Source organism: Homo sapiens, chromosome 7 (assembly GCF_000001405.40).
Source record: "Homo sapiens chromosome 7, GRCh38.p14 Primary Assembly".
NCBI lineage: Eukaryota > Metazoa > Chordata > Mammalia > Primates > Hominidae > Homo > Homo sapiens.
This window is the reverse complement of record NC_000007.14, coordinates 73,557,698-73,579,125: the sequence shown is the minus strand read 5'-3', so window position 1 is coordinate 73,579,125 and position 21,428 is coordinate 73,557,698. Positions and strand designations below refer to the sequence as shown.

General features: G+C 50.8%; 1 protein-coding gene across 12 annotated transcripts, besides 2 other annotated features; it reads left to right on the top strand.

Annotated features, from left to right (window-relative positions):
- Window positions 296-935: a silencer, noted in NCBI's record as "silent region_18254". NCBI's record gives its function as "represses an Ori minimal core promoter by ATAC-STARR-seq in GM12878 lymphoblastoid cells {active_cell/tissue: GM12878}" and the evidence as "EXISTENCE:reporter gene assay evidence [ECO:0000049][PMID:35858748]".
- Window positions 547-11,589, top strand: TBL2 (transducin beta like 2). Of its 12 annotated transcripts, none has more exons than NM_001362662.2 (8): window positions 547-706; window positions 2,425-2,585; window positions 4,613-4,743; window positions 5,004-5,165; window positions 5,655-5,806; window positions 6,156-6,282; window positions 7,785-7,937; window positions 8,154-11,589. In NM_001362662.2, the coding sequence occupies exons 5-8, from the start codon at window positions 5,704-5,706 to the stop codon at window positions 8,617-8,619; spliced, it is 849 nt and encodes a 282-aa protein (NP_001349591.1). In that variant the 5' UTR covers window positions 547-706; window positions 2,425-2,585; window positions 4,613-4,743; window positions 5,004-5,165; window positions 5,655-5,703; the 3' UTR covers window positions 8,620-11,589. The 12 variants fall into 12 exon arrangements, with proteins under 12 accessions (NP_001349591.1, NP_001349589.1, XP_006715986.1 ...); NM_001362660.2 differs by having other exon boundaries at window positions 5,004-5,188; XM_006715923.5 differs by having other exon boundaries at window positions 547-1,153; window positions 5,004-5,188.
- Window positions 21,161-21,400: a silencer, noted in NCBI's record as "silent region_18253". NCBI's record gives its function as "represses an Ori minimal core promoter by ATAC-STARR-seq in GM12878 lymphoblastoid cells {active_cell/tissue: GM12878}" and the evidence as "EXISTENCE:reporter gene assay evidence [ECO:0000049][PMID:35858748]".

Here is a 21,428-nt window from a genome sequence, read left to right as displayed (position 1 = left end):
GTGATGGCTGGAATAATGCCTTTAATAAACAATTATCAGTGAGTTCTTCAGGAGGAGGCGTGAGCAGTGATCGCAAATCCCGCCTTCCTCCGCCCTCCGCAGCCCTGCAATCTCAACCGCCAGGCGACCCGCCCCTCGAAACGCACCAAGGGTCGAGCCCTGCCCCTCGAGATGTTCTACTTCCAGGCCCCGCCCCTCGAGACACTCTACCTCCGGGTTCTGCCCCTCGAGACGCTCTAACAACCCAGCCCCGCCCCTCGAGACGCGCTAACTCCAGACTCTGCCTCTCGAGGCGCTCTAATAACTAGGCTCGGCGGGTGGAGATGCTCTAACTCCAGGCCCCGCCCCTCGAGCGCCACAACAGCCGGGCCCCACCCCTTGAGGTGCTTTAACGGCCAGGCCCCGCCCTGAAGGCGTTGTAACAACCAGGCTCCGCCCCCAGGCGCTCTAACGGCCAGGCCCAGCCGCTTGAGGCTCCCCAACGGCCAGGCCGCGCCCCCGCGTGCGTGCGCGGCCCGGCAGAGCCGTGCGGGCGCCCGCGTACTCACTAGCTGAGGTGGCAGTGGTTCCACCAACATGGAGCTCTCGCAGATGTCGGAGCTCATGGGGCTGTCGGTGTTGCTTGGGCTGCTGGCCCTGATGGCGACGGCGGCGGTAGCGCGGGGGTGGCTGCGCGCGGGGGAGGAGAGGAGCGGCCGGCCCGCCTGTAAGTGGGGCCGGGTCGGGTGGGGGCGGCCCGCGGTGTCCCGGCTCCCGGCCTCCTCGTGGTCCGACCTGCGGTTTGGGCCCGCGGCTGGTGGGGCCCGGCGACTCCATGGGCCTCAGTTTCTCCTCTGGTAACGTGAGCTTCGCTTCCAGAGACGGGGACCCGCCTTGCCGGGTTAGGCGCACCTCCTGGGGCGGGACTGGCTCCAACCTGGGCCCCTTACTGCGGCTTTCTCTGTGGCCGAGGCCAGGCCGTCCCCGGGGTGGCCAGGAGAGCACCGTAAACTCTTCAGCCTGCTCCGTGGCCGCGATCTCGGAAAAAGCACCAATTCTGTGATGTGCAGCAGCATTTACTGGGCATCTATGACCCTGTGATAGGCTTTGGGGTCTTTTTCTGTAAGGAGTCCAGTAAAGGAGAAGTACATCTGTATTATGAACACCTAAATATGTAAGTGAAAAACACGGTGAAATAAGTTTCACTGAGGCCAGGCGAAGTGGCTCACGCCTGTATTCCCAGCACTTTGGGAGGCCGAGGCAGGGAGATCGCTTGAGCCCAGGAGTTTGGGACCAGCCTGAGCAACATAGCAAGACCCCATCTCTACGCAAAATTAGCTGGGTGTGGTTGTGCACGCCCCTGTAGTCCCAGCTCCATGGGAGGCCGAGGCAGGAGGGTGTCGTGAGTCCAGGAATTCAAGGCTGCAGTGAGTTGTGATAGATCGCGCCACTGTACTTCAGCCTGGGTGACGGCAAGAGCCTGTCTCTGAAAAGTTTCATAGAAGAGGTTAGTACTAGAAATGGGAAACACCAGAGAGTCAGTGGGCAGCCCTGCTCTTTTTATTTATTTTTCAGACAGAGTTTCGCTCTTCTTGCCCAGGCTGGAGTGCAGTGGCACAATCTTGGCTCGTTGCAACTTCCGCCTGCCAGGTTCAAGCGATTCTTCTGCCTCTGCCTCCCGAGTAGCTGGGACTACAGGCACACACCACCACGCCTGGCTAATTTTTGTATATTTAGTAGACGGGGTTTCGCCACGTTGGTCAGGCTGGTCTCGAACGCCTGATCTCAGGTGATCCACTCGTCCTGGCCTCCAAAAGTGCTGAGATTACAGGCGTGAACCACTGTGCCCGGCCAGCCCTGCATTTTTTTTTTTTTTTTTTTTGCAGGGGGACGGAGTTTTGCTCTGTCGCCCAATCTGGAGTCTAGTGGCGGGATCTCGGCTCACTGCAAGCTCCGCCTCTGGGTTCACGCCATTCTCCTGCCTCAGCCTCCTGAGTAGCTGGGACTACAGGCGTCCGACACCACACCCGGCTAATTTTTTGTATTTTTTGAGTAGAGACGGGGTTTCACTGTGTTAGCCAGGATGGTCTCAATCTCCTAACCTCTTGTGATCCACCTGCCTCGGCCTCCCAAAGTGCTGGGATTACAGGCGTGAGCCACCCTGCCTGGCCGAGTCCTGTTCTTTTATGGGGGAGGTGGTTGTTAGGGAAATCATTACTGAGAATAGGGGGCACATGAGGTAGTGTGGGGTCTCAAAGGATGGTTCTAGAAGAAGAGTTTGCCAGAAGGCCAAGGAAAAAAGACATTCCTGCCAATGGCAATACCCGAGAAGGCAAGGAGTCCCCAAACAGCATTTGGTATGACTTAAGTGTGAGGAGGGGGGCTTGTTAGACATGCCTGGAGAGAAGGAAGCAGAGGACAGATTGTGGCTGTGTTTGTTTGCAGGGCCCAGGAGCTTTTTTCCTGTTGGAATTGGGGAGCATCTGCAGTCATTTACCACATGCCAGCTTTGTGACTCAATTAAGTATCTTTTACAAAAGTGACTGGCTCCACTCCCCCGCACAGGACTCAACAGATGTTGACTTCTCATCCCCGAGTTCTTTCAGGTACTGGAGTGCAGTGGTGCGATCTTGGCTTACTGCAACCTCTACCTCCTGGGTTCAAGTGATTCTCCTGCCTCAGCCTCCTGAGTAGCTGGGATTACAGGCGCCTGCCACCACGCCCGGCTAATTTTTGTATTTTTAGTAGAGACGGGGTTTCACCATGTTGGCCAGACTGGTGGAACTCCTGGGCATCAAGATGATCCAGCTGCCGGGCCGGGCATGGTGACTCACGCCTGTAATCCCAGCACTTTGGGAGGCCGAAGCGGGCAGGTCACAAGGTCAGGAGATCGAGACTGAGGCAACAGAGCGAGACTCTGTATCAAACAAAAAAAAAAAATGATCCAGCAGCTGCCTCAGCCTCCCAAAGCGCTGGGATTACAGGCATGAGCCACCGCACCCGGCCTCCATAGAGCCTTTAATGCTTGTGTTCGGTACTTTTGCTTGTCACTTTGTAGATATCTCATCCAATTCAATCTCCCTTATTTTTATTTATTTATTTATTTATTTATTTTGAGACAGAATCTCACTCTGTCGCCTAGGCTGGAATACAGTGGCACGATCACTGCATTTGAACTCCTGGGCTCAAGCAATTTTCCCTCCTCAGCCTCCGAATAGCTGGGACCACAGGCGCACACCACCATGCCCAGCTAATTAAAGTTTTCTGTAGAGATGGGGTGTCACTATGTTACCCAGGCTGGTCTCGAACTCCTGAGCTCAAGCAATCCTCCCATCTCAGCCTACCAAAATGCTGGGATCACAGGCATGAGCCACCGCCCCCAGTTCTCAACCTCTCTTTAAGAAAACCAAGGCTGGGCCGGACACAGTGGCTCACGCCTATAATCCCAGCACTTTGGGAGGCCAAGGCAGGCAGATCACTTGAGGTGAGGAGTTGGAGACAAGCCTGGCCCACATGGTGAAACCCCATCTCTACTAAAAAAACAAAAAAATTGGGGCCAGGTGCCATGGCTCACGCCTGTAATCCTAGCACTTTGGGAGGCCGAGGCGGGTGGATCACAAGGTCAGGAGATTGAGACCATTCTGGCTAATGTGGTGAAACCCCACATCTACTAAAAATACAAAAAAAAATTAGCCGGGCATGGTGGCGGGCGCCTGTAGTCCCAGCTACTTGGGAGGCTGAGGCAGGAGAATGGCGTGAACCCGGGAGGCAGAGCTTGCAGTGAGCTGAGATCACGCCACTGCACTCCAGCCTGGGTGACAGAGCGAGACTCCATCTGAAAAAAAAAAAAAAAATTAGCTGGATATGGTGGTGCACGCCCATGATCCCAGCTACTTGGAAGGCTGAGGCACAAGAATTGCTTGAACCTGGGAGGCAGAGGCTACAGTGAGCGGAGATCACGCCACTGCACTCCAGCCTGGGCGACAGAGCAAGACTCTGTCTCCAAAAAAAAGAAAGAAAGAAAAGAAAAAAAAAACCAAGGTCCAGAGCAATTCACTAACTTACCCAAAGCAGGGCCGCTAGAGATGGTTGTGCACATTACTCCCTACATAGGGATGTCTGGCCAAGGATCCACACTCCACTGGCCGTGCTGTGTACCCGCCCAGCAGCATCACCCAACCCAGAGAGTGCGCCTTTTCCACTCTACATGAAGGTGCTCTGTGGACTTACTGTAAACAGCCTCCTCAGTAGTCAGTCAGTAGTAGAGACAGAATCCAAACCCAGGTCTGATTCCAAAGCCTCTGTTTTGTTTCTGTTTTCTGTTTGTTTTTTTTTGAGACAGGGTCTTGCTCTGTCACTCAGGATGGAATGCAGTAGTGTTGTGATCATAGCTTACTGCAGCCTCGAACTCCTGGGCTCAAATGATCCAAAGCATTGGGATTACAGGCATGAGCCACCATACCCAGCCAGCCAAAGCCTCTGTTTTTGCCCATATCACACTCATTCTCCTCCAGAAGACAAGGGCCATATCTGGTTAATCTCCTGCTGTTCCACTCAATGCCTGGCTCATCATAGGTGGGCAGTAAATGCTTATCAGTGAGTAACTGGAGAACAACATGGCCCTTCCTTATAGGCCAAAAAGCAAATGGATTTCCACCTGACAAATCTTCGGGATCCAAGAAGCAGAAACAATATCAGCGGATTCGGAAGGAGAAGCCTCAACAACACAACTTCACCCACCGCCTCCTGGCTGCAGCTCTGAAGGTACGTGGGGTACCTGGCACAGCGTGCACCCTGAGACTCAGCCCCACAGGCTTTTCCTCTGGAGTATTCCATGCATGTTACAGGCTCTCCTGCCTCTGATCAGAATCAGCGGGGGTGCTTAATTCTGTCCCCTCTCATCGCAGCCCAATCTCAGCTTGCTGTTAATCCAGGCCACAGGGCCCCATCTCCCCGGCTCCAGGTTTGGCTTCCCCATCTCCCCCAGGAGCTCCTATTGACACTTCCTGCCACCCTTCCCCTAGAGCCACAGCGGGAACATATCTTGCATGGACTTTAGCAGCAATGGCAAATACCTGGCTACCTGTGCAGATGATCGCACCATCCGCATCTGGAGCACCAAGGACTTCCTGCAGCGAGAGCACCGCAGCATGAGAGCCAACGTGGAGCTGGACCACGCCACCCTGGTGCGCTTCAGCCCTGACTGCAGGTGGGACAAGACGGAGCCTCAGGTTTGCCTGCAGAGGCCTAGTCCCAGGCTTTGGCCTTCCCATATCTGCTTTGAGGTAGTGAGGAGGGACCTGGACCCAGGGCCTCCCTTGGGGTGCCAGAAAGAGCATCCACATAGTTTGCGCGCTGCCTGGGGCTCCCTGGAGATCTGGGCTGCTATACAGCAAGGAAACAGGGGGAGGTCTCTTCCTACCTGGAAATACCTTGGCCTGGCTTCCAGATGAGCCTTAGTTTCTAAACCCTAGAGAGAAACTAAAGGAGCCAAAGCTATCAGAATCTTACCTTTTGAGGAGTTTTATGAGATTTGGAACCAGGGGCTTAAGTTTTAAGGCTAGACTGTGGGGCATGAGGAGAGATCTTGACTTCCCCGAGAACCCAGCACAGGACCTGGAACACAGAGCCTCTTTGTCCAGTGAGAGCGTGACTTGTCTGCTGCCTGTCTCTAGAGCCTTCATCGTCTGGCTGGCCAACGGGGACACCCTCCGTGTCTTCAAGATGACCAAGCGGGAGGATGGGGGCTACACCTTCACAGCCACCCCAGAGGACTTCCCTAAAAAGCACAAGGCGCCTGTCATCGACATTGGCATTGCTAACACAGGTAAGAGGCATTCAGAGGGTGGCGCCTGCCCAAAGCATGAAGGAAAGATCCAGTTCTATTTCCTCAATGAGTTAATGCTGCCTGAAAGTTCTGCTCAACCTGAGAGGAACAAGGGGTCCCTGGCTCTGAACAGCCTGGCTCTGTGCTCCCCTGGAGTCCCTGGGCCACACCAGGTCCCTAGGGAAGGTGGGGAAGGGCCACAGTCTTCAGCAGAGTCCTTATCTGTAGTGACCCTTGGCCTGGGAGGAGACATGTATACTTCGGGCAGCAGAGGCCTTGTAAGTGTCTTTGGAGAGTGACAGTTGGTCAGGTCACTGCCCGTGACCCACATCACTCCCTTCCCGCTCAGGGAAGTTTATCATGACTGCCTCCAGTGACACCACTGTCCTCATCTGGAGCCTGAAGGGTCAAGTGCTGTCTACCATCAACACCAACCAGATGAACAACACACACGCTGCTGTATCTCCCTGTGGCAGGTGGGCAAGGAGGGGTATTGGCGTCTGGGACCACGAGAGGCTGGGGCTGGGGAGCAGGCACAGAACAGAGAGCCAGCTTCATCGCGTGGGAAGAGCATACGGGGTGGGGTCAGGAACCCGAGCTTCAAGTCTCAGCTCTCCCCACTTGCAGTAGTGGGATTTCATGCAGGTCGCCCCATGTCCTTAGTCGCTATTTCTTCATCTTCAGTGTTTTTGTTTTTTAGAAAATTAGTCTCACTCTGTCACCCAGGCTGGAGCACAGTGGTGCGATCATAGCTCACTGCAGCCTCAAACTCCTGGGTTGTAGCTATTCTCCCAGCTCAGCCTCCTGAGTAGTCAGGACTATAGGCATGTGCCACTGTACTCAGCTAATTTTTGTTTTTTGTTTGTTTGTTTGTTGAGACGGTTTCACCCTCGCCCAGGCAGGAGTGCAGTGGCGCAATCACAGCTCACTGTAGCCTTGACTTCCCAGGCTCAGACCATCCTCCCACCTTAGCCTCCCGAGTAGCTGGGACTACAGGCGTGCACTACCACACCTGGCTAATTTTTGTATTTTTTGTTGAGATGGGGTCTTACTATGTTGCCCAGGCTGGTCCTGAACTCCTGGCCTCAAGTGATCCTCTTGCCTCGACCTCCCAAAGTGGTAGAATTACAGGCGTGAGCCACTGTGCCAAGCCACCTTTGGGCGGGGATGTTACATATCTTAGAACAAGGCTAGAAGATAAACTGAGGTCACATACATAAAAGAACTTTTTTGTTGTGGTTGTTTGTTTGTTTTTTGAGATGGAGTTTCGCTCTTGTTGCTTAGGTTGGAGTGCAATGGCAGGATCTTGGCTCACCACAACCTCCGTCTCCCGGGTTCAAGCGATTCTCCTGCCTCAGCCTCCCCCAAGTAGCTGGGATTACAGGCATGCACCACCATGCCCAGCTAATTTTTTATTTTTAGTAGAGGTGAGGTTTCTCCATGTTGGTCAGGCTGGTCTCAAACTGTCGGACCTTAGGTGAGCTGCCCGCCTGGGCCTCCCAAAGTGCTGGGATTACAGGTATGAGCCACCACACCCGGCCTTTTTTTTTTTTTTTTTCTGAGACAGTCTCACTCTGTTGCCCAGGCTGGAGTGCAGTGGTGCAATCTCAATCTCAGCTCACTGCAACCTCCACCTACCAGGTTCAAGTGATTCTCCCACCTCAGCCTTCCCAGTAGGTGGGACTACAGGCATGCGCCACCACGCCTGGCTAATTTTGTATTTTTAGTAGAGATGAGGTTTCACCATGTTGGCCAGGCTGGTCTCGAACTCCTGACCTCAGGTGATCCACCCACCTCGGCCTCCCAAAGTGCTGGGATGACAGGCGTGAGCCACCGCGCCCGGCCAAAATAACTCTTTAAAGGTTTATATTATCCAGATATGAGGATTATCAACTTTCTCAGGAAAGAGATTGAGGGGTTTTACAGGAACAACATGCTCCGAAAATGAAGTTTTAAAGGCTTCTGGGTTGTATGGCAGATTTGTAGCCTCGTGTGGCTTCACCCCAGATGTGAAGGTTTGGGAAGTCTGCTTTGGAAAGAAGGGGGAGTTCCAGGAGGTGGTGCGAGCCTTCGAACTAAAGGGCCACTCCGCGGCTGTGCACTCGTTTGCTTTCTCCAACGACTCACGGAGGTGAGTGAATCCGCTCTGATGTCTGACCAGTGGCTCTTGGCCCCTCTTGACAACCAGGGTCCTTCTGTCTGTTTGTGCCATGGCTCTGAAGAGGGTGGGGTGCCTGGCCCTCGGCAGGAAGCTGACTTAGCTTCCTAGCTGGAGCTGCTCAAGTTGGGCCAGTGCTTACCCTGCCAGGGTGTGTTGGGGCTTGAGCTGTGATTTTCTGTGTTGCAGGATGGCTTCTGTCTCCAAGGATGGTACATGGAAACTGTGGGACACAGATGTGGAATACAAGAAGAAGCAGGACCCCTACTTGCTGAAGACAGGCCGCTTTGAAGAGGCGGCGGGTGCCGCGCCGTGCCGCCTGGCCCTCTCCCCCAACGCCCAGGTCTTGGCCTTGGCCAGTGGCAGTAGTATTCATCTCTACAATACCCGGCGGGGCGAGAAGGAGGAGTGCTTTGAGCGGGTCCATGGCGAGTGTATCGCCAACTTGTCCTTTGACATCACTGGCCGCTTTCTGGCCTCCTGTGGGGACCGGGCGGTGCGGCTGTTTCACAACACTCCTGGCCACCGAGCCATGGTGGAGGAGATGCAGGGCCACCTGAAGCGGGCCTCCAACGAGAGCACCCGCCAGAGGCTGCAGCAGCAGCTGACCCAGGCCCAAGAGACCCTGAAGAGCCTGGGTGCCCTGAAGAAGTGACTCTGGGAGGGCCCGGCGCAGAGGATTGAGGAGGAGGGATCTGGCCTCCTCATGGCACTGCTGCCATCTTTCCTCCCAGGTGGAAGCCTTTCAGAAGGAGTCTCCTGGTTTTCTTACTGGTGGCCCTGCTTCTTCCCATTGAAACTACTCTTGTCTACTTAGGTCTCTCTCTTCTTGCTGGCTGTGACTCCTCCCTGACTAGTGGCCAAGGTGCTTTTCTTCCTCCCAGGCCCAGTGGGTGGAATCTGTCCCCACCTGGCACTGAGGAGAATGGTAGAGAGGAGAGGAGAGAGAGAGAGAATGTGATTTTTGGCCTTGTGGCAGCACATCCTCACACCCAAAGAAGTTTGTAAATGTTCCAGAACAACCTAGAGAACACCTGAGTACTAAGCAGCAGTTTTGCAAGGATGGGAGACTGGGATAGCTTCCCATCACAGAACTGTGTTCCATCAAAAAGACACTAAGGGATTTCCTTCTGGGCCTCAGTTCTATTTGTAAGATGGAGAATAATCCTCTCTGTGAACTCCTTGCAAAGATGATATGAGGCTAAGAGAATATCAAGTCCCCAGGTCTGGAAGAAAAGTAGAAAAGAGTAGTACTATTGTCCAATGTCATGAAAGTGGTAAAAGTGGGAACCAGTGTGCTTTGAAACCAAATTAGAAACACATTCCTTGGGAAGGCAAAGTTTTCTGGGACTTGATCATACATTTTATATGGTTGGGACTTCTCTCTTCGGGAGATGATATCTTGTTTAAGGAGACCTCTTTTCAGTTCATCAAGTTCATCAGATATTTGAGTGCCCACTCTGTGCCCAAATAAATATGAGCTGGGGATTAAATACGAATAAGACATGGTTTCTGCCATCAAAGATGGCTGGTGGGAGAGAGAGATACACCCTTATTAAGTGCTTTGTGTTAGTTTATTCATAGCTATTGTTATATATGTCAAGGCAAGAGAGGACCAGAGCAGGACAGAGGCAATGGGTATTGAAGTTGAAGGGGTACATTTGATAAGAGAGTCGGTATTGAGAAGTTTAAATTTGTGAATTTGAAGGCTGCGTGGGTGTGGCAGGTAAGGGAAATGAGGTATCTGGGAAGGCTTGAGTGTAGGCAAATTTATTCATCCCAAGTCAAACTCTTGATCTCTCTCACGAAAACTATGACCCCCCCTGGTTGCCCCTGACCTCTCAATGTTGGAACAAGCCACAACCGTGGAGTTATCCTTGATGACTCCCCATTCATTATCCCTTCTGTCCCACCACCACAGCTGTCATCTGTTCACCAGAACGTTCTTTTGGTTACACTCCATGTGACATCCTGAGGCTGTTGCTTCTCTCCAGCTTTTCTGTTACCATCCTGGTCCTGGCTACTGTCACCTAGTGGGCCACTATAATATGGCTTCCTAATGGATCTTCCTGCTTCCTCTGTTGCCTCATTACTTTTCTATATAGCAGAATGATCTTTTGAAAATGTGAACCAGATCACATTATTCCCTAGTTAAAACCCCCCAAGGCTTCCCATCACACTTGGAATAAAATCCAAAAGAATTTTTCTAAACCAAAAATAGTAAAAACAATTTTTTTTTTCTGACAATCTCTTGTCACCCAGGCTGGAGTACAATGGCGCAATCTCGGCTCACTGCAACCGCCGCCTCCTAGGTTCAAGCGATTCTCCTGCCTCAGCCTCCAGAGTAGCTGGGATTACAGGCATGTGCCACCACGCCTGGCTAATTTTTGTATTTTTAGTAGAGACAGGGTTTCACGATGTTGGCCAGGCTGCTCTCGAACTCCTGACCTCAAATGATCCACCACCCCCCTTGGCCTCCCCAAGTGCTGGGATTACAGGTGTGAGCCATCGTGCCTAGCTAAAAACACTTAATCCAAAATTCTTACCATGGCCTGCAAGGTCCTGTGTAACCTGGCTTCGTCCCCCCTCTAAATGCTATGAATGTCAGATGGGCACCGTAAATGTGTGAAGGGTCAGTTACCTGGGTGTAAGGCAGTAGAAGGTGGGGACAGAAGTGAGCTGGAGGGCGGGCTTGTGTCCTGCCTGCAGGATGGGGGGTGGCTGCTACTTATTCAGGAATCCAGCAGAAATTGCTTCACAGAAGCTAGAAGTGAGCAACTTAAATAACTAAACACTATCTGGACCAAACAAAACACTAAGGTCGGCCCGATGCAGTCCACTACTCTCTTATTGGCAGCTTCTGGCTCACTGTTGAACCCACTGGAATGAGAGCACCACCGGGCAGACTCCTGGACCATCCCACTGTCAGCTCTGTGGTCCAGGCACAGTACCTGGGACAGTGTAAGCACTCAATGTGAAACTCAAGCCAGGGGCAAGCCACAGACCTCCCAGTATCTTCTCCGCGCATCTTCCCACTCCCAGTCTCCATTGTGGTTTTGTATGTTCCTAACCACAGACTTTTGGCAATGCTGTGCACACAAGGCCTGAGGAGTATTTCCTTGGCAATTGTCAGAAGAATGAGACTAAAACACTTCCTTTGCGCACCTGTTCTTAGAAGCAGCTCTGGCATTACTCCCGTTGTGTATCCAGGACAGGAAGTGGCAGTAGAATGTTGAGTTACTGAAGTCAGATGTCTTCAGTTCCAGTTCCAGCTGGAGAGCAGATAGTAGGTCCGTTGACCTCTCTGAGCTTGTTTCCTCAGCTGCAAAATAAGAATGAATCCTGTGCTACCCACCTTGCCATGTTGTGTTTCAGTGAGACGAGAAAACACTACCAAAAAGTCATTCCACAGACTTCTGAGGACAGAAAGTGCCCTCACTCAAGCTTCTCTTGTAACCACAGAGAAGGTGTCTGGATATTAACATAGAGCAGAGGCCACCAAGGTTTTTCTTTTTTTTAATCAAAAATCCTGCATGTGAAGGCAGTAATTGTATCTTAATATTATAATTTCAACATCTGTGGGTGTGAAATTTTTCAAAAAAAAAATTTGGGGAAATATTTTAAATGGCGGTGTATAGCCTATTTTGGTGTTTTGTTTGTTTTAGAGTTGGGGTCTCACTCCTTCATCCAGACTGGAGTGTGGTGGTGCCATCATGGCTCACTGCAGCCTCGACTTCCTGGGCTCAAGTGATCTTCTCACCCCAGCCTCCCAAGTAGCTAGGATCACAGGCGCATGCCATCACACCTGTCTGTTTTGTGTAGAGATGGGGGTCTTACTGTGTTGCCCAGGCTGGGGCTTGCAGTCGTTTAAACCATGCAATACACAGATTAAGATGGTGGTGCCATCTCAACAGTGGCCTGCCACTTCCCAGGGAGTCTTCCTTCCTCAGTGCAGTCCACCCTCCTCCTGGCTACTTTCCTGGGGTTTGGTTGCAAGTGGGTCTTCCACCACCTGCATCCAACACTCGGGCGCATGAGGAAAACCAACTCTTTAATTTGCTTATCTGTGATAACTTGAAGCCCTGGATAGTGTCTTGCATATGGACATGTTTTCACAATTATAGCTACTCCAGTAAAGTCACATTTCAGAGACTGACAGCTTGGGAAAGGCACAAAAAGTTTTGTTACTGTGTTATCTACAATGAATGTGCAATTCTTATGTAATGTTCATTGCAGCAGTATTCAGAATAGCAAAGACATGGAATCAACCCAAATGCCCATCAATGATAGACTGGATAAAGAAAATGTGGTACATATACACCATGGAATACTATGCAGTCACAAAAAGAACAAGACCATGTCCTTTGCAGGGACATGAATGGAGCTGGAGGTCATTATCCTTAGCAAACTAACCCAAGAACAGAAAACCAAACACTGCATGTTCTCACTTATAAGTGGGAGCTGAACAATGAGAACACATAGACACAGAGAGGAGGCAACACACACTGAGGCCTGTTGGGGGAGGGAGAGCATCAGGAAGAATAGCTAATGCATGCTGGGCTTAATACCTAGGTGATGGGTTGATAGGTGCAGCAAATCACCATGGCACACATTTACCTATGTAACAAACCTGCACATCCTGCACATGGACCCTGGAACTTAAAATTCATTAATTAAATAACAGGTACTGGGAGTGGTAGCTCACACCAGTAATCCTGACACTTTGGGAGGCCGAGGCAGGGGCATTACTTGGAGCCAGGAGTTCAAGACCAGCCCGAGCAACATACTGAAACCCCTGTCTATACACAAACACACGCACAAATTGGGGCATGGTGATGGACATTTGTAGTCCCAGCCTCTCTGGAGGCTGCAGTGGGAGGATTGCTTGAGCCCAGGAGTTCAAAGCTGCAATGAGCTATGATCACAGCCTGGACAACACGGTGAGACCCTGTCTCTTAGAAAAAATCAGTAACATGATATATTGAAAGCATTAACGATAGCCTCCCGTGATACATACTCTTTCACTTTCACTTCATAGCAGCTCTTGTGAAGTAGCAATTATTATCCCCATTGGAAAAACCAAGGTTTGTGGAAGTTAAGTGGCAAGCAGGAATTCAACTCTGGGTCTGAGTACAGAGCTCGAGCTGGTTCCTAGTGTGACCCCATACAGCCTCTGACCTTGCCATCCAGAAAATAAGCTCTTTGAGGGCAGGGAGTTTATAGTGTTAGAAATTCGTCTTGTATCTCTTTCTGTTGCACCCATGCAAGTGAGCACACAGTAGCCACTATTTCAATTTGTTGACTAATAAGACGAACCTGTATACTGATTGCCCAACAGCAAATGAGCTCACTTTGACCACCACTTGTGCATCCACCACGCAGTTGCATTGGCAGCAGAAATCATTCTATTACTTTCAAAAGTCACTGCATCTTGTGAGTTCATACACTTCAGTGTGATTCTCCCAGGGACTAATGGTTCCAAAGTGAGGAGATGATCAAAATTCCAAAACTGGGCTAGGCAGGGTGGCTCATGATTATAATCCCAGTGCTTTGGGAGGCCAAGGTGAGAGGATCACTTGAGACTAGGAGTTTGAGACCATCTTGAGTAATGTGGTGAGACCCCATCTCTACAAAAAAATTTAAAATCAGCTGGGCATGGTGTCACACCTCTGTAGTCCCAGCTACTGGGCTACTTGAGAGACTGAGGCAGGGGGATCACTTGAGTCCAGGAGTTGGAGGCTGCAGTGAGCCATGATCATGCCACTGCACTCCAGCCTGAGCAACAGAGTGAGACTCCACCTCTTGAAAAAATACAAATAAAAGAGTGCCAGCTGGGCACAGTGGCTCACGGCTATAATCATAGCACGTTGGGAGGCTGAGGCAGGAGGGTCACTTGAGTCCAGGAGACTCCATCTCAAAAAAATGAAAGAAAATAAACAAAAACCCTCCGGAGTTTGAGATCAGCTTGGGAAACAGGGAGACCCCATCTCTACAAAAAACACAAAAATTAGTCGGGCATATGGTGGCACAGCTACTCAGGAGGCTGAGATGGGAGGATTGCTTGAGACTCAGAGGTTGAGGCTGCAGTCATCGGCCCAACTTGGCCTCCCAAAGTGCTGGGATTATAGGCATGAGCCACCGTGCCCAGCCAGCTAGTAGGTTTGACAGCCCAGGTATGTTTCAGTTGCTTTTGGAGCCCAGAGGCAGGAAAAATATCAACCAAACAACAACCCCCAAAATGATAAAGTTGATGATGATGATACGGAAGGCGATAATTATGTTGGTAATAACTGTGTTGGTCTCTGGCCCTTGAGTCTTTATTTCACCATAATAATGGCCTCTGCCCTGCATATTTTAGCCTTTTGTGATCTAGAACCTAGGGCATCTCTCTAGAATAAGAAGCAAAACTAACAGCAAACAAAAAAGAACCCAGGGCAAAAGTGAATTTCTTGATGTGCTGCACCCCAAATTTCCTCAACCCCACGTTAATTCACTGAGCGTGTCATGACTGCCAGGGACTTGCCCACAGTGGCAAAGATTGCTATGTTCCCCAACTCCGCTTCTCAGTTTCCTAGGTACAAAGCTGGACTACATGTCCCAGGCTTCCCTGCAGTTAGGTGAGACCCTTTGATGACTTCAGGCCAATGGAATGTGTGCAGAAGTGATCTGTTGAGTCTCTGGCTGCCTCTAAAAACCCTCCTGAGGGCTGCCTCTAAAAACCACGGTGGCTCACCCCTGTAATCCCAGCACTTTGGGAGGCTGAGGCGGGCAGATCACCTGAGGTCAGGAGTTTGAGACCAGCCTGGCCAACATGGCAAAACCCCATCTCTACAAAAATATGAAAATTAGGTGGGCGTGGAGGTGCACGCCTGTAGTCCCAGCTACTTGAGAGGCTGAGGCAAGAGAATCCCTTCAACCCAGAACCCGGGAGGCAGAGATTGCAGTGAGCCAAGATTGTGCCACTGGACTCCAGCCTGGGTGGCAGAGAGAGATTCCATTTCAAAAAAATAAAATAAAATAAACAAACAAAAACCCTCCTGAGGCTCTCCATACTCTCTTTTCTGCCAGCTGGAAACAGAGGATTCTGTGTGGTTTACTGGGTAATCAAAAGCACTAGGTGGCTGGGCATGGTTGTTCATGCCTGTAATCCCATTTATGGCTGATTCCTACAATCTCAGCACTTTGGGAGACTAAGGCGAGAGGACTGCTTGAGGCCAAGAGTTCAAGACCAGGCTGGGTAACATAGTGAGACCCCCCCCCCATCTCTAAAAAAAATTTAAAAATTAGCCAAGCATGTTAGCGCGCACCTATAATCCCAGTTACTCAGGAGGCTGAGGCAGGAGGGTCACTTAAGCCCAGGAGTTCAAGGCTGCAGTGACTTATGATTGTGCCACTGAACTGCAGCCTGGGCAAGAGAGCAAGACTCCGTCTCTTAAACATATAATTTGTATATATGTACATATGTGTGTATATATATTCATATATGTATACATATATGATATGCTTTGTTTTTCCACTAGTGTGGACAGATTTCTATGATGTGGTAACAGAATAATGATTCCCTGAAGATATCCACATCCTAATCCTTGGAACTCAGGAATTTGTTGGGTGATATGCCAACAGGGAATTACAGTAGCAGATGGAATTAAGGTTGCTAATCAGCTGGCTTTTTTGTGTTGTTGTTTTTTTTTTTTTTTTTTTGAAACAGAGTCTCACTCTGTCTCCCAGGCTGGAGTGCAGTGGTGCGATCTCTGCTCACTGCAGCCTCCACCTCCCAGGTTCAAGTGATTCTCCTGCCTCAGTCTCCCTAGTAGCTGGGATTACAGGCACATGCCACCACACCTAACTAATTTTAGAATTTTTAGTAGAGATGGGGTTTCATCATGTTGGCCAGGCTGGTCTTGAACTCCTAACCTCAAATGATCCACCCCCCCGACCAGTCTCCCAAAGTGCTGGGATTACAGGTGTGGGTCACCACGCCTGGCTAGAAAAATAAAATAGGATATTAAGTGGTTTTATTAGTCAGGGTTCTCTAAAGGGACACAACTAATAGGAGATATATATATATATATATATATATATATATATATATATGTAAAGGGGAGTTTATTAAGTATTAATTCACACAATCACAAGGTCCCAAAATAAGCCATCTGCAAACTAAGAAGCAAGGAGAGCCAGTCCAAGTCCCCAAACTGAAGAACTTGGTGTCCAGTGTTCAAGGGCAAGATGCATCTGGAACGGGAGTAAGATGTAGGCTGGGAGGCTAGGACAGTCTATTCACATTTTTTCTGCCTGCTTCATATTCTAGCTGCACTGGCAGCTAATTAGATGGTGCCCACCCAGATTAAGGGTGGGTCTACCTTTCCCAGCCCACTGACTCAAACATTAATCTCCTTTGGCAATACCCTCACAGACATACCCAGGATCAATACTTTGCATCCTTCAGCCCAATCAAGTTGACACTCAGTATTAACTATCACAGTGGTGATGACTGTTTTGGAGAGAAATAAATAGGGGAAGGAGGATATAGCGTGTGTGTGGGGATGGATACCGCAGTCTTAGATAGGGTGGGCGGAGAGGGCTGCATTGAGAAGATAACATTTGCTTTTTTGTTTTTTGAGACACAGTCTCACTCTTGCCAAACCAGGCTGGAGTGCAGTGGCGCAATCTCAGCTCACTGCAACCTCCGCCTCCCGGATTCGAGCGATTCTCCTGCCTCAGCCTCCCAAGTAGCTGGGGCCACAGGCATGCATCACCATGCCTGGCTAATTTGTGTATTTTTAGTAGAAATGGGGTTTCACCATGTTGGCCAGGATGGTCTCGACCTCATGAGGTCCTGACCTCGTGATCCGTCCACCTTGGCCTTCCAAAGTGCTGGGATTACAGGCGTGAGCCACTGTGCCTGGCCAAGAAGATAACATTTGAATAAAGACCTTAAGGAGGTAAGGGAGGGAGCCATGTAAATATATGGTTGATGGGTGCTGCAGTAGAGGAAGCGGAAGTGCAGAGACTTGAAGCAGGAGCTGGACTGTGCTTTCAGACGAGCAAGGAGGCCAGTGGATTTGGAGCAGAGACAGCACGGGTAGAGTTGTAGGAGGTGAGGTCAGAGAATTAACAGGATGATGCCTGGGGATGGATGGGGCCTTGTCAGCCGCTGTAGCTTGTACTCAAAGTGAGAAAGGAAGCTGAGCCCTTGAATGCAGGTCGCCCAATGCAGAGATCTGGGGTGGCTCCTCTGTATCCACCTCGGCATCTCATCTAGCACAAGCCTTTCACCTAGAAAATGACAAGATGTGATTTTTTTTTTCTTTTTGAGATAGAATCTCGCTCTGTCACCCAAGCTGGAGTGCAGTGGCACAATCTCGGCTCACTGCAACCTCTGCCTCCTGGGTTAAAGTGATTCTCCTGCCTCAGCCTCCCTAGTAGCTGGGATTACAGGCGCGCGCCACCACACCCAGCTAATTTTTTGTGTCTTTAGTAGAGACGGGGTTTCACCATATTGGCCAGGCTGGTCTCGAACTCCTGACCTTCTGATCCAACAGCCTCGGCCTCCCAAAGTGCTGGGATTACAGGTGTGAGCCACCGTGCCGGACCTGATTATTATTATTATTATTATTATTATTATTATTTTAAGAAAATGGTGTCAGGCTGGGTGTGGTGGCTCACGCCTGTAATCCCAGCACTTTGGGAGGCCGAGGTGGGTATATCACCTGAGGTCAGGAGCTCGAGGCAAGCCTGGCCAACATGGTGAAACTCCGTTTCTACTAAAAACACAAAAAATTAGCCGAGTGTGGTGGTGGGCACCTCTAGTCCCAGCTACTCAGGAGGCTGAAGCAGGAGAATCACTGGAACCCAGGAGGCGGAGGTTGCAGTGAGCCAAGATCGCACTACTGCACTCCAGCCTGGGAAACAAAAGCAAAACTCCGTCTTAAGGGAAAAAAAGAAAAGAGGCTGGGCGCAGTGGCTCATGCTTATAATCCCAGCATTTTGGGAAGTCGAGGCAGGCGGATCACCTGAGGTCGGGAGTTCGAGACCAGCCTGACCAACATGGAGAAACCCCGTCTCTACTAAAAATACAAAATTAGCCAGGCGTGGTGGCGCATGCCTGTAATCCCGGCTACTCAGGTGGCTGAGGCAGGAGAATGGCTTGAACCAGGGAGGCGGAGGTTGCGGTGAGCCGAGACTGCGCCACTGCACTCCAGCCTGGGTGACAAGAGCGAAACTCTGTCTAAAAAAGAAAGAAAAAGAAAAAAAAAGGGTATCAACACAGAGCATTTGGGTAGGCTATGAGGAATAGGTGGTAGGTGCCCACTTTGATCACTCTCTTACACAGACCGAGCCCCAGTGGAAGATGAGGTGGGGAATGTAGGACTAGGTGGACAAATGTAGGGAGAAAACAAGGTTGGGGGGGTCTCTGGGACTTTGCCCCAGGAAGACGACTGGCTGGGTGAGCTGGGGGAGACATGTGTGCAGGGAACCTGTGCAGCTGGGAGGAGCGCTGGGCTGTGGACGAGAAGGAAGCTACAGACAAGAAACCTCACGTGGGAGGATTTGGACAAGGGTGAGACAGACACAGGGGCTGTGTGCCTCAACCAGGGGGATCTATGGGCAGAACTGGAGAAGTCTCAAGGGCTGGCCTCTCTCTTGGCACGTATGTTCTGCCTTTCTACTGCTTTCCTCACCTTCACCCCAAGGACAAGGAGTGTGTCTTACTCAACTTCACATCACCTGCAGTGTCCACTGTGCTAGGGCGTACAGCAGGTGCTTAGGCAATCTGCGGTTATTTTGGATCGGCTGGGTCTGAACAACAAATGTGCCACCTTTGATCCCGTTATTTCTAGAATCATCTTTTCACTCCACATGCTGGTTCAGCTTTTGCACTCCTCAGTCAGGCAGAAGCTATTTCTGGCCCCCTCGCCAGTAAGATGACATATGCTTGCCCTATGTTGCTTGATCATGAAAGGCTGACTCATAATCAGAGGCTGTCTCAAGTTCAGGGCTAGCTAGGCATTTCTCTGGAGCACATGGAAATTAGTTTCTTTATAGGTGAGAACAGCCACTACCAATCTGCTTTCTGTCCCAAGCTGTGTCCTGAAACAGCTGCTACAGGACCCTCTCCGCATACTGCAAGCGTGGGTGACACCTGCCTGCAATTGGGTGGGGGCAAAGAGGACAAGAGCTTGCACTGGATTCAACATTCATGCAAACATTTATTGAGCATCTGTAGCATCTGTGAACACTGCCCTGGGAGTAACAGCACCTACCCTATTTTTAGAGGTCAGCTTCAAGATTAAGGTTGTCATAACACCTCTTTTTTCTTTGCTGCAGACTAGGAATAAAAGCCATAGCATCTTACACCTCCCCTCCCCTACTTAAGCTGGCATTTATCAAATAGCATTTTACTTATTTGTTTAATTAATTTATTTTTTCCAAGATGGAGTTTTGTTCTTGTTGCCCGGGCTGGAGTGCAATGGTGCGATCTTGGCTCACTGCAACCTCCACCTCCTGGGTTCAAGCGATTCTCCTGCCTCAGCTTTCCAAGCAGCTAATTCTGTATGTTTAGTAGAGATGGGGTTTTGCCACGTTGGACAGGCTGATCTCAAACTCCTGACCTCAAATGATCCACCCACCTTGGCCTCCCAAAGTGCTGGGATTACAGGCGTGAGCCACCATGCTCCGCCTAGGCTAGCATTTATCAAATAGCATTTTAAATATGCTTTGGGAAGCTGGACCCAGTGACTCACGTCTGCAATCCCAGCACTGTGGGAGGCCGAGGAAGGAGGATCAATTGAGTCCAGGTGTTCAAGACCAACCTGGGCAACATAGGAAGACCCTGTCTCTACCAAAAAAAAAAAAAAAAAAATGTCAGCGAGGCATGGTGGCCCTCGCCTGTGGTCTCAGCTACACAGGAGGCTGAGGCAGAAGGATCACTTGAGCAAGGCCCTGTACCAAAAAATAAGTAAAAGTAAAAAATAAATATTTTTTTTTCGTCTGAATGTTCTACTAAACTGGAAGCTCAGCCAGTCACAGTGGCTCATGCCTGTAATCCCAGCACTTTGTGAGGATCCCTTGAGACCAGGAGTTCAAGACCAGCCTGGACAACATAGTGAGATCCCCTCTCCACATGAATAAATAAACTGGGCCGGGTGCGGTGGCTCACGCCTGTAATCCCAGTACTTTGGGAGGCCGAGGCAGGTGGATCACGAGGTCAGGAGTTCAAGACCAGCCTGACCAACATGGTGAAACCCCATCTCCACTAAAAATAAAAAAATTAGCTGGGTGTGATGGCGGACGACTATAATCCCAGCTACTCGGAAGGCTGAGACAGAAAATTGCTTGAACCCGGGAGGCGGAGATTGTAGTGAGCCGAGATCACACCACTGTACTCCAGCCTGGGCAAAAGAGCGAGACTCCGTCTCAAAAAAAAAAAGGCCAGGCGTGGTGGCTCACGCCTGTAATCCCAGCACTTTGAGAGGCCAAGGCGGGCAGATCACGAGGTCAGGAGTTCCAGACCAGCCTGACCAACATGATAAAACCCCGTCTCTACTAAAATTACAAAAATTAGCTGGGCGTGGTGGCACCCGCCTGTAATCCCAGCTACTCAGGAGGCTGAGGCAGAAGAACCGCTTGAACCCGGGAGGCGGAGGTTGCAGTGAGCGGAGATCACACCACTGCACTCCAGCCTGAGTCACAGAGCGAGACTCCGTCTCAATAAATAAACAAACTGGAAGCTCTTTGAAACCAAAACCACGTATGTCTTCAGCTTTAGGTACAGAGTCTTGCACAAAATAGACATCTTTTTATTTATTTACTTTAGAGACGGGGTCTCGTTTAGACATGGGGTCTCCATATGTTGCCCAGGCTGGAGTGCAGTGGCTATTCACAGGTGCGATCATATCATAGCTGACGGCAGCCTCAAATTCCTGGGGTCAAGTGATCCTCCCGCTTCAGCCTCCCAAATACTTGGGACTACTAGATACTCGAGAAAAGGCAAGAATGTGGTCTGAATGCTGGGAAAGCAGTTCATCTGGTAAAGAGAGGAGGGGATTCCAGGTGAGGAACAGGTGTGTGCAAAGACCGGAAGCCATCCTTAAGAAAGGCGTGGTTGGAGCACAGCGTAGGAGCCAGAGGGCAAAGGTGCTGGGCAGGAGAGGCGGGAGGACAGAGATGGCGCAGGAGTGCGGTTCCACAGGGTCAGGTTCCTAACACGCTGGCCAGAGCAGGGAGCCGACCTCCAAACTCTCAGGGAAGAGAACCAGGTTGCCCACCGGCGGCACCTCGCACCTCGCCCTGACCACAAGCACGTGCGCCCAACCCGCCTCGCACCCCGGCCCGGGTAGGGGGCTCAGGGGACTCCCGGGGCACTCAGGAGGGACGCCCCGGGCGGGGCGCGCAGGCGCGCTGAGGCCGTGAGCCCCAAGGGGCGGGCGGGTGCGCGCGCTTTCTCGCGCACGCGCGCAC